This window comes from Homo sapiens, chromosome 1 (genome assembly GCF_000001405.40).
Source record: "Homo sapiens chromosome 1, GRCh38.p14 Primary Assembly".
Classification (NCBI taxonomy): domain Eukaryota; kingdom Metazoa; phylum Chordata; class Mammalia; order Primates; family Hominidae; genus Homo; species Homo sapiens.
The window spans coordinates 109,335,872-109,348,529 of NC_000001.11; the positions used below are offsets into that span (position 1 = coordinate 109,335,872).

General features: G+C 43.4%; 1 protein-coding gene across 4 annotated transcripts in view; it reads right to left on the reverse strand.

Annotated features, from left to right (window-relative positions):
- The window catches only part of SORT1 (sortilin 1), an 88,344-nt gene that overhangs the window by 26,297 nt on the left and 49,389 nt on the right, over window positions 1–12,658 (reverse strand). For 2 of the 4 annotated variants that reach the window (XM_005271100.3, NM_001205228.2), the window contains exons 7-11: window positions 11,612–11,661; window positions 9,880–10,007; window positions 6,143–6,287; window positions 4,853–5,008; window positions 369–475 (exon numbers count right to left, since the gene is read on the reverse strand). In XM_005271100.3, the coding sequence (XP_005271157.1) occupies window positions 369–475; window positions 4,853–5,008; window positions 6,143–6,287; window positions 9,880–10,007; window positions 11,612–11,661 (586 nt within the window). Of the gene's footprint in view, window positions 1–368; window positions 476–4,852; window positions 5,009–6,142; window positions 6,288–9,879; window positions 10,011–11,611; window positions 11,662–12,658 lie in introns of all 4 variants that reach the window. The other 2 variants (NM_002959.7, XM_005271101.4) reach the window with 1 other exon arrangement.

A 12,658-nucleotide genomic window follows, 5' to 3' on the forward strand; every position in this document is an offset into this window, starting at 1 on the left:
GTGCACTGCTTATGAATGGTGGAGCTGCGGCTTCTTGCAGAACCTCTAAAGTCTCCCAGCTGCCAAGCTGACCCCTAACTAATCACCAGCCCCTCTGGCCATTGTTTTAATTCAGCAGTTTAGTGAACCACAAATTGTTAGCCCTCAGTTTTGTTCTTCTTTAAAAGACAAATAATCCATAGTATTTTGACCTTTCCTCAGTTCTTACTTCCGAAATTCTAAGTTAATTTCATTACTCTCATCTCCAAACTTTCCACCTTATGCTGAGGACCCTAATCAAGTATGAAACTTCATCATCCAAAAGGCTGGCACTGATCAGAGCACAATGGAAAGGCTGCTGTGCTCTGCACACATTAGAGTAAACAAACCTCATTCTTGTTTTTTGCTGTAGCATCACATTCACTGTTTTCAGGCTTCCTCAGGTGCGTCCACCTTCCTCCTTGGTCAAAAGTGATCATGGTCTGGATAGAATTATCTGAATGGGAAGAGAACAACATTAAGTCTGATACACTGGAAGTACCTAGGTTAGATTCACTTTATCACTGCATGACTCTCTCCTGAGACCGTATAGCACCTGGAGTCCGACAAGCTTGTAACACCTCACAAAACGGCTCATTGTTGGTAACGGAGCAGCACTTTAAATATGATATTTGAGGCCAGGTGCAGTGGTTCATGCCTGTAATCCCAGCACTTTGGGAGGCCAAGGCAGGTGGATCACCTGAGGTCAGGAGTTTGAGACCAGCCTGGCCAACATGGTGAAACCCTGACTCTACCAAAAATACAAAAAATTAGCCGGGTGTGGTGGTGGGGGCCTGTAATCCCAGCTACTCGGGAGGCCGGGACAGGAGAATCACTTGAACCCGGGAGGTGGGGGCTGCAGGGGGTCAAGATCATGCCATTGCACTCTAGCCTGGGCAACAAGAGCAAAACTCTTGTCTCAGAAAAAAAAAAAAAAAAGATATTTGAAGAAGGTGTCCCACCTGAACAGGACCCAATTAATTCCACAAATTATTTAGGACTGATACTCTTTGAAAAAAATACCTTTTAACTCCTTACCAACATGAACAGGCTGATGTCCATTCTCCTTCCCTGTTTGCTTGCCTGGGAAGTAAAATCTACCACAGGAAGGCATCCTAATCTTTATTCGGACAAGGCCATGACACTAGCCTTGTTTTAGGGACTCTTGAGATTCAGTAAGTGTGCAGAGTTCTGGATTAATAACTCTGAATTATTGTCTCTCCACTACTCCATATCCTATCTTTCTTGTACCTTTCTTTTTTCCCTCGTCTCTTCCCCATTCTTATTTTCAATGATATAAACTGTTGCAGGTTTTAAATTCAGAGATAATATCCTTTGAGTTTTCCTTTATTTTTATTTATTTATTTATTTATTGAGATGGATTTTCGCTCTTGTTGCCCAGGCTGGAGTGCAATGGCACAATCTCAGCTCACTGCAACCTCTGCCTCCTGGGTTCAAGCAATTCTCCTGCCTCAACCTCTGGAGTAGATGGGATTACAGGCACCTGCCGCCTGGCTAATGTTTGGTATTTTTAGTAGAGACGGGGTTTCACCATGTTGGTCAGGCTGGTCTCCAACTTCTGACCTCAGGTGATTCACCCGCCTCAGCCTCCCGAAGTGCTGGGATTACAGGTGTGAGCCACTGTGCCTGGGCTCCTTTGAGTTTTCTAAGAAAAAGCAAACAAGGAAGCAAATGAAGGAAAATTCATTTACTCAAACATCTACTGAGTGCCTACTATGTGAAAACTCTTTTTTTTGAGACAGAGTCTTGTTCTATCACCCAGGCTGGAGCGCAGTGGCACCATCTCGGCTCACTGCAACCTCTGCCTCCCGGGTTCAAGCGATTCTCCTGCCTCAGCCTCCTGAGTAGCTGGGACTACAGGTGCATGCCACCAGGTCTGGCTAATTTGTATTTTTAGTACAGACTGGGTTTCACCATATTGGCCAGGCTGTTCTCCAACTCCTGACCTCAAGTCATCCACTCACTTTGGTCTCCCAAAGTGCTAGGATTACACGCATGAGCCACTACACCCAGAGTGAAAACTTTTGTAAGCCTTTGGTAATGTATCAGTGAACTAAACAGACAAATATTGTGAAAAATACATTCCGGTAGGGCGAGACAAGCACTAGACATAGTAAATAAGTAAATTATGTAGTATGCTAGAAAATAAGTACTATGGAAAATACTTGCGCAGCTAAAGGTGGATTGATAGTGTGTGTGTGAGGAGGCGAGGGCAAACTGGAATTTAAAATAGGATAGTCAGGGAAGGTCTCATTCAAAAAGTAATACATGAGTACAGACATATCAGCCTTGCGGACATCTGGAGAAACAGAGGGAACTGTCGGTGCAAACTCTAATCTGTGCATGTGCATGTGTACCTGCTGTGTTAAGAACTGGCAGGTGGACAGTATGATGAGAGTAGGGCAGATGGAAAGAGAAGCGCTGGAGGTGAGTCAGGGAGGAAACCGGGAGCCATATCTCCAGGACTTTGTAGGCCACTGCCAGGACTTTACAAAATAAAAACAGCCCCTACCTCCTACCGAAAAATAAATATATAAATAAAATGACACTTTAAGAGTCTTTGTACTTGAGACTAATGTGTTTATTTGTATAACTGGGCCTAAGGAAAGGTGAGCTCTGTAGAGCCATTGAGTAGAACACAAGAAGAACCCTGGCTGGCTACTGCTATGCACCCTTACCAAGAAGAGCAGGAAGTGGGTCAAATTCAGGCTTATTCTCATAGGCCTACATCTCCCAATATAGAAGACTCACTTTATTACCTAAACAACATAGATTCAAAACATCTTTTTTTCTACTTGTTGTTGCTCTCCTCACTCCTAGTTCTATTTATCATAACTTATTTAAAATAGGGAGCCTGAATTTGCATGGGTTTGGTCTGTCCCTGCTGGACTGTCCTCCTGATCCCTCCTCCCCCGGCATCACCCAATGTCTCACCACCACCACCAGGCCAAACCCTCCTGTGACTCTGATACTTTTTTTTTTTTTGAGATGCAGTCTCACTCTGTTGCCCAGGCTGGAGTGCAGTGGCATGGTCTTGGCTCACTGCAAGCTCAGCCTCCCGGGTTCACGCCATTCTCCTGCCTCAGTCTCCTGAGTAGCTGGGACTACAGGTGTCCACCACCACGCCCAGCTAATTTTTTGTATTTTTAGTAGAGACGGGGTTTCGCCGTGTTAGCCAGGATGGTCTCGATCTCCTGACCTCATGATCCACCTGCCTCAGCCTCCCAAAGTGCTGGGATTACAGGTGTGAGCCACCGCGCCCAGCGACTCTGATACTTTGCATGTGTACTTCCTTCAGCTGAAAATGCCCTTCCCTCCCCATTCCTGCCTATCATACTTAAGGCTCAGTCTTAAATGTTTTTCAAGTGTGTTCACTGTATGGTTTTGAGTGCAAGGCTGTTCAGCCGTTTATTTGTAGGCTCATTTGGCAAGTATTACTGAACATCTACTATGTGCAAAAATTGTCATAAGCACCAGAGGAGCATCAGTGAACACAACTTTAAAAATCACTGCCATCCATAGGACTCAATTAGAAGCTTCCTCAACGAAGATATTCACATGGCCAACGAGCATATAAAAAGTTGTTCAACATCTTTAGTCATTAGAGAAATGCAAATCAAAGCTATAAACGAGATAGTATTTCACTCCCATTAGGAGTGCTGTTACAAAAATAGGAGAATATAATGTGTTTGCAATGAAGTAGAGAAATTGGAATCCTTTTGTATTGCATGTAAAATGGTACAACCATGTGGAAAACCCATTGGTATTTCCTCCAAAAGAGAAACATGGAATTATCATGTGATCCTGCTATTTCACTCCTACATATATCCCCAAAGGAACTGAAAGCATTGACTTAAACAGTTACATGTATAACAATGTTCATGGCAGCATTCAGTATTCATAAGAGCTGAAAATGGAAACAGCCTAAGTGTCCATCAATGGAGGAATAAAAAACAGGCTGGGCATGGTGGCTCACGCCTGGAATCCCAGCACTTTGGGAGGCCAAGGCAGGCAGATCACCTGAGGTCAGGAGCTCGAGACCAACCTGGCCAACATGGTGAAACCCCATCTCTACTAAAAATACAAAAATTAGCTGGGTGTGGTGGCACACACCTGTAAACCCAGCTACTCAGGAGGCTGAGGCAGGAGAATCCCTTGAACTTGGGAGACCAAGGTTGCAGTGAGCTGAGATCACGCCACCGCACTCCAGTCTGGGCAACAGAGCGATTCCATCTCAAAAAAAAAAAAAAAAAAGAAAGAAAAAGAAAAAAAAGGTGCTATATTCAAACAAAGGAATATATTCTAGTCTTAAAAAGCAATAAGTGAAATTCTAAAACATGCTGCAATGTGGCTGAACTTTGAAACAATATGCAAAATGAAAGAAGCCAGACATACAACAACCAATAGTGTATGATTCTGCTTACATGAGCTACCTAGAATAGGCAAATTCATTGAGACATAAAATAGAATGTTGGTTACCAGAGCTGGGTGACTGGGTGGGGAACGAGGAGTGCTTGTGCACCTGGTGCAATTTCTATTTGGGATGATGAAAAAGCTCTGGAAATAGGGGTGATGGTTGTGCAACATTGTGACTGTGCTTAATGCTACTGAATTGTACCCTATACAATGTTAAAAACTGCAAATTTTGTTAGACATATTGCCACAATAAAAAAAAAAAAGGAAACAAAAAAATGTACATGGGTAGGCTTGTTGGCTTGGCAAGCAACATTACTAGGGGACAGGTTCCCCGAAGCCTCAAATCCTACCACATGCAGCTGAAGGCACAGTACACCACTGCGATGCCGAGACTCACCTTCGGAGAGCACGCTTGTTATGTAGACGCCGCGGAGGGAGGTCACGTTGGTAAAGTCCGTCTCTCCGCCTGTGGTAGTGTAGAGATGTCGGTCCAAAGACTTGGAATAGACAATGCCTCGATCATCTGAGGTAAAGATTGTGCCAAACCCAGTGTCTGAAATAGGCAAACAAACAAAAATACTAAGTCTTGGGTGGAACCAAAGAGAAAAACAATAGTCTAACCACACACGATTACCTGCCTGACCAAACACAGTAGCCAATTGTGTCTCTTCATGATGAAGACTCAGACCTGAGAATTAATCAAGGTTTGATACTCAAGATCTTTATGCCCATCTTTAATTCTAGTACCCAGCTTAGTGCCTGGAATATGGCAGATGCTGAGTTTGTTGAATAAATTAATCAGATGCTACAGAAAAACTCTTCCCAGATATATTTTGGTGGGAGAGGCCCTATGTTTAGTTTACATATTTTTAAATCTTTACACTCTAGAACAATGCTTCTCAAACTATCTGTAGTGAAGGATCAATTTGTAAGATTTCCAATATGTCACAAACTGATGCTATTGTAAAACATAATAAAAACTAATCATTAGAAAATGAAAAGGTAAACAAAATATATGCCCCTAAGTTTTTTTTTTTTGAGATGGAGTCTCGCTCTGTTGCCCAGGCTGGAGTGCAGTGGCACGATCTCAGCTCACTGCAAGCTCCACCTCCCGGGTTCATGCCATTCTCCTGCCTCAGCCTCCTGAGTAGCTGGGACTATAGGTGCTCGCCACCACGGCCAGCTAATTTTTTGTATTTTTTGTAGTAGAGATGGGGTTTCACTGTGTTAGCCATGACGGTCTCGATCTCCTGACCTCGTGATCTGCCCGCCTCAGCCTCCCAAAGTGCCAGGATTACAGGTGTGAGCCACTGCGCCCAGCCATAAACCCCTAATTTTTTGTCATTAGATCCAACAGACATAAAATTGCTTTGTCAAAAGGCTAGAAGAGTTTCCAAACTCTTGCTCTCAATTTCTGTACTTATCTGGTAACAGATAGTTTGCAAATCAGTACCAGTCTGCTGACCATTCTTTGAGCAGCTCTGCTCTAGAACACCTGAACATACACACAAGCTACCAAAACAAGTGGCATTTTTAACAGGGGCTACAGATGATCTCTAGGACAGAAAAATCAGTAGGGCACTAATAAATTTCTAGGGGTAAGAGGAAAACTCGACATGTAAAAATAAAAGCTGCTCAAAGCTTACATCTCTATGCTTTTAAGGGTAAGCCACTAAAAAGCTCTTACCTCCAGGTTCATCTACATGCATGAATACCATGTCATCATTTGCTGCCAGAATAGAATAGAACTGTTCCTGTCCCACGGAGGGGAGCTGGGCCATGCTCCATGTGTCCCCTTGATCTGTTGAAACGTGGATCCTTCTTGTTGTATCCTAGAACAGATGTCAATATTTATCTTTCTAATTTTCTGCCAAGATGCCATGGGCAGGGACATGAACAAGAATGTTTTAAATAACTACTATTATCCATTTCTCTACTGGGTACGATTGCTATGAATGAAAGGTCATAGTACCAATTACCAAAGCAATTTCTAGCCCCTAGCAAAGTTCTAGGTAAAGGAACAATCCATTCTATTCTAAGTAAGGCTATCTTGGCTTTCTCTTTGAATTCTTCATTCTGATGCGGCCCTGTAAGATAGTATAGTCTTGGTCTCTGATAGTCCACCTCCTTCAGTAGAGCTAAGGATTTGATGAGAACATTAGGTTGGCTTTATAGCCATTTGCATACACTCAGGTAATTCTTAAAATGATGACTACTGCATAAAAGTTTGGTCCCTTTCATACAGTGCTTGCATAATTTAAAGAATTATATACTTAAGGGTCTAGAAAATAGAGATGAAACCCATGTTTGGGAGATCACAAGGGAAGTCAAGATGTAACACGCCTTCTCTCTAAGGAAGTCTCTCAGAATAGCCAGGATGAAGGGAACAGGCATGGGCTGGAAAGAGGCCAAGGAGAGTCGGAAATTACTATAAGGAAACTGATTAGGGAGTATTTGGCTGACGAAAAGAGTCTGTTAAGAAAGCAATTAAAACTTAACTCTCTGATAAATAGCTTAACATCGCTACTAGATACAGTTAGCCTGAGCATGAGAATTAATGTCGGTGTTTCCTTAGATTAAATACTCTTTAAAGTTCAGTGATAAGTACATTTAACTTATTCAACTTATACCAACATGTCTCATTACTTTGAATCTTATTCTCATTACTGTAGGTAGAAACCAGAGTTCAAAAGTACATCGCAAAATTTTAATTCTGTAGACAGCATTATACCATATATGCAGTATAGCATAGGAAGCTACCTCTGGAATTTGAGTCTGATTTCCAGCAGGATTCCACTACTGGTTGACCCTAGGTAAGTTACTCAATTTCCTCACCTATAAAACTGAGGTAATACTATTAGCTCACAGGGTTATTGGGAGGATATTACAAAATGGCTTTGGAGAGTTATCTGTATTTACTGCCTACTTCTTCATCTCTAGTTCTCACTGAAGTCACTCCAATCGGCCTTTTAACTTCCAATGAAGTGCTTTTGTCAAGGTCACCAACAACCTCCACGTCGCCAACTCCAGTGGATAATTCTCAGAATGCACCTAACTCAATGGTCCTGATTTCCCTCTTCCTCCCGGATCCCTCCCTCTCAGTCTTCTTTGCTGGATTCTTCTCTTTCCAACCTTTCAGTTGTGGGTGCTTCAGGGCTTGCTCAGTCCTCCCACCTCTTTGCTACCTACTTACTCCTCCAGAAGGTATCATCTGGTCACATGGCTTCAAATACCATAGCAATTAGGGAGATTCATATACCCAAATGCTCACTTGACATCTCCATTCAGATATCTAATAGGTGTCTCATATGCAGAACTGAATTCTTTTTTTATTTTTTTTGAGACAGAGTCTCACTCTGTTTCCCAGGCTGGAGTGCAGTGGCATGATCTTGGCTCACTGCAACCTCCGTCTCCACAGTCCAGTTGATTCTTGTGCATCAGCCTCCCGAGTAGCTGGGATTACAGGCCTGCGCCACCACGCTTGGCTAATTTTTTGTATCTTTTAGTAGAGACAGGGTTTCGCCATGTTGGCCAGGCTGCTCTCAAACTCCTGACCTCAAGTGATTTGCTCGTCTTAGCCTCCTAAAGGGCTGGGATTAAGGCGTGAGCCACCATGCTCGGCCCAAAACAGAATTCTTGATTTTTCTCCCACAACCTGCTCCTCCTGCAGTCTTTGCCATCCTAGAAAATGGCACCACCATTCAGGCGCTCAGGATACAGACTCTTAAAGGTACCCTTGATTCCACTCATTCTCTCACAACCCACATCAAATCCATCAGCAAGTCCTATTAGTAATATGTTTAAAAATGTATCCACAGTCTCACCACCTGCCCCCTTACCCACTGCCAAGAGCCTGGCCAAGCTACCACCTCCCCAGCTTGGACTCCTGAGAGAGCTCCCGGCGCTCCCGCTGCTTCTGCGCGTGCCCCTGTCAGGCTGTTCTGCGCACACCTATTCTTCAAAAGAGAAGCCAAATCTCAGCATTCCCCTGCTCACAACCCTCTCACAGCTCCCAACACAAGAAGAGTAAGGCCCACATCCTAATTGTGATCTACAAAGGCCACATAAGGTCTGGCCAGGCCCCCTCTGGCCCCACTTTGGACTATTATTCTCTGTGCTCCCCCCATACTGCCCTTCTCCCCTTTGCTTGGATTGATCGGGCATGCTCCAGTCTGAGGGTCTCTGCACTGGCTGTGCCTCATCCTACTCTCCTCCCAGATGGCCACATGGTCAAGTTCTTGTTTCACTTAGGTCTCAGAGAGCCCATCCTAAACAGTCTGTCTAAAAGAGCACTGACTCCTGACACTTTGTTTTCTTACTGTTTTAGATTTCTTCGCGGCTTTAATTATTACCTGATACACACACACTCACATTTATATTTATTTATGAGACAGGGTCTTGTGCTGTTACCCAGGCTGGAATGCAGTGGCATGATCACAGCTCACTGCAGCCTCAACCTCCCCAGGCTCAGATGATCCTCCCACCTCAGCCTCCCAAGTAGCTGAGACTACAGGCACATGCCACCATGCCTGGCTAATTTTCTTATTTTTTGTAGAGACAGGGTTTTGTCATGTTGCCCAGGCTGGTCTTGAATTCCTGGGCTCAAGGGATCCACCCGCCTCAGCCTCCCAAAGTCCTGAGATTACAAGTGTGAGCCACTACCCCCAGCCTTCATATTTATTTTTTGAGTATTTATTTTCCCCCTTAAACATAAGTTCTGAGAGCAGGAAATTCATCTGTTTTGTTCACTGCCATATTCCTGGGACTTAGAATAGTACCTAGCATATAGTAGGCACTCAATTAATGTTATCTAATTGTATTTTTATTCTTGGATAATGAGCAAGAGATTGCTTTCTACAGATGTCCATTGTCTGAGTAATGCCCAAACACTGGATCAAAATATCCTGGCCGGGCGCGGTGGCTCACGCCTATAATCCCAGCACTTTGGGAGGCTGAGGCGGGGGGATCACCTGAGCTCAGGAGTTCAAGACCAGCCCGGCCAACATGGCAAAACCCCATCTCTACTAAAAATACAAAAATTATCCGGGTGTGGTGGTGCACACCTATAGTCCCACTTACTTGGGAGGTTGAGGCAGGTGAATTGCTTTAATCTGGGAGGCGGAGGGTGCAGTGAGCCGAGATTGCGTCACTGCACTCCAGCCTAGGCAACAGAGAGAGACTTTGTTTCAAAAAAAAAAAAAATCCCAAAAAAGATAACAGAATTCACATGGTGACAGAAGGCCAAAGTGCAGAGTAGCCTATCAGTCAATCAGCCTTTGCAAAAAGAATCACCCCTAACACTCACAGTGGTACTAAATATAACAAAAAGACAAGAAACTCTGTCAATGCCAAGTAATAAAGAGAATCTATACGAGAGATATTTGCAGAAATATCAGACCCCAAAGGGGAGAGGGCAATACCTACCTTATCAGCCATCACAGAGGCAAAAAGGAAACGTCCCCCAAGACCAAATGAGTAGATTTTCACACCAATAGTTTTGAAGCTTTTTCCCAAGTCTGAAGTTCTCCATAATTCCAGAGCCCCAAGGTCAGCTTCTTAAACAAGACAAAATATTAATTAAAATTTCACTTACTGGTGAGCCTAGTTCAAAGCAGTTGTTTTAGAATCAATCTTAATTTTATAGCTAAAGCATTTTAAATACTATGCATGTTAATCAAGTGACAACATAAAATGTGATACAGCGGCCAGGCGCAGTGGCTCATGCCTGTAATCCCAGCACTTTGGGAGGCTGAGGTGGGCGGATCACGAGGTCAGGAGATAGAGACCAAACTGGCTAACACCATGAAACCCCATCTGTACTAAAAATACAAAAAAATTTAGCCAGGCGTGGTGGTGGGCGCCTGTAGTCCCAGCTACTCGGGAGGCTGAGGCAGGAGAATGGCGTGAACCCGGGATGCAGAGTTTTCAGTGGGCAGAGATCGCGCCACTGTGCTCCAGCCTGTATGACAGAGCAAGACTCCGTCTCATAAAAAAAAAAAAAAAAAGTGATACAGCATTAGATATAGGCAATTCATATTTGTGTTTTATTTTATACATTTCAGATTTTATGCTCAATGGAAAGGTAAGAGATTACTTAATTCTAATACAGTGTTTCATAAAAACATCAAAGCCACAGCAGACGGGTGCGGTGGCTCACGCCTGTAATCCCAGCACTTTGGGAGGCCGAGCCGGGTGGATCACGAGGTCAGGAGTTCAAGACCACCCTGGCTAACACGGTGAAACCCCATCTCTACTAAAAATACAAAAAATTAGCCGGGCGTGGTGACAGGCGTCTGTAGTCCCAGCTACACAGGAGGCTGAGGCAGGAGAATGGTGTAAACCCAGGAGGCGGAGCTTGCAGTGAGCGGAGATGGCGCCACTGCACTCCAGCCTGGGCGACAGAGCAAGACTCCGTCTCAAAAAAAAAAAAAAAAAAAAGCCACAGCATGCTGCTTTACTTTCTTCATGGCACAGTTTGGAATTATCTTATCCTATTTTAAATTGTCTTGAGTTTTCTTTTCTTTTCTTTTAAGGGCTGGGGGTCTTGCCACATTGCCCAAGCTGTCCTTGAACTTCTGGGCTCAAGCAATCCTGCTGTCTCAGCCTCCCAAGTAGCTGGGACTGCAGGCATGCAACCATCATGCCCAGCTGGAGTTTTGGTTTTCCTGAATTTACGTTCCATGAGGGCAGGCCTTGGGTGTTTTCTTCTCTCCATCCTTAGAACAGTGTTTAGCATATGAGCAGGTGCTCAAATATCTGTTGAATGAGTAAATGAAAGATTTTGCTTTCTGTTTTGAAGTTGTGTCAGAGTTTGGGAAGCCAGCTGCTTCTGCAAACACAAACACAACCCTTGCTTTCCTGTAGAAATAACCATGCATTTCAATTTGCTATTGTCTGTAGCATAATATTTGCTTTACATAAATACATTGCTAAGATTAAATATTGCCTCTACGTATAGCCTATATTTTTACTTGATCTGGGTAGTGTAGTAATTTGGTTTTACTTTCAAGATTTTAATAACCACTAACAGCTTTCTTTAGCTATTACAATTTCAGGAGAATGGAGGGACCTTTTATGTTTCTACCTTGCACAACCCAGAAAATTCTACCATGAATGGACAACAGGACATTATTTTCTGGGACTAAAATATACTTACTGCAGGAGCCATTTGCATAGGTTGTAAAGAAGATGGTGTTGTCTGATCCCCTACAATGAGGCAAAAACAGGGAAAAGAAATGGTTTAAGACTGCTGAAGGACTGTGTTGACCTTACTCACAAACTTCCTAGCAGGTCTAACAAGCTTCATTCACAGGCACTGACAAGCACCACTTCTCAGGCGCTGAGCCCTGGTCCTTCACAGCTCTGCCTGTCAAGCTCCCCACTGCCCGGCCCATGTGTTGTCTACAGTCCACCACTTCTTTACGTGAACTCTTTCAGGCAGTCATGCTGGTCTACTCACCCTCTCAACATTTGCCTCTGACATTTTTGATCATCACAACTGAGGGGTGGGTGGCGGAGGTGTTATTGGCATCTACCGGGTAGAGGCCAGGGATGTTGCTACACATTTTATGATGCACAGGACGGTCCTCCACAATAAAGAATTCTTTGATCCAAAATGTCATTAGTGCTGAGGTTGAGAAACTCTGTTTTAGAGCACTGTACCATCTGCACAGCCACTTGGCATGCATTTGCCTGTTTTTTATTTTACTTGCATAGTATATGCCTTACCTTTCCTACTATATAAATTAGCTTCTTCAGGGCAGGTACTATACTTTGCTGTTTCCCTTCAGAATCTAGTTCAATGCTTTGTATGAGTTAAATAATTTAGTTCTTCCATCTCAAATGGACAACTAGGTCGGAGGTTGAATTATTTAAAATGTAACCTGGAAAGGGAGTTTGCAGGGAACTAGATTCAGACCCTCCTGGCACTTACTGGATTGCAACCAAAAAAAGGTGTTGGTTTTGAGCATGTTCTTTCAGAACTTTTGGTTGTAAATTCCTAGAAACTAGAGATCTAAAAAGGTGAGTAAACAGCAGCATCCTGGTTATTCATATTTAGACACTAAACAAAAAAAAAAAAACATGTTACAAAAGTAAAAACCTTGCATAGGATACAAAACAAAATCCTATTTTAAAATAACTTTTTAGTTTTAAAGATAAGGTTTTGTTTGTTTATTTAAGTGACGGAGTCTTGCTCTGTCAC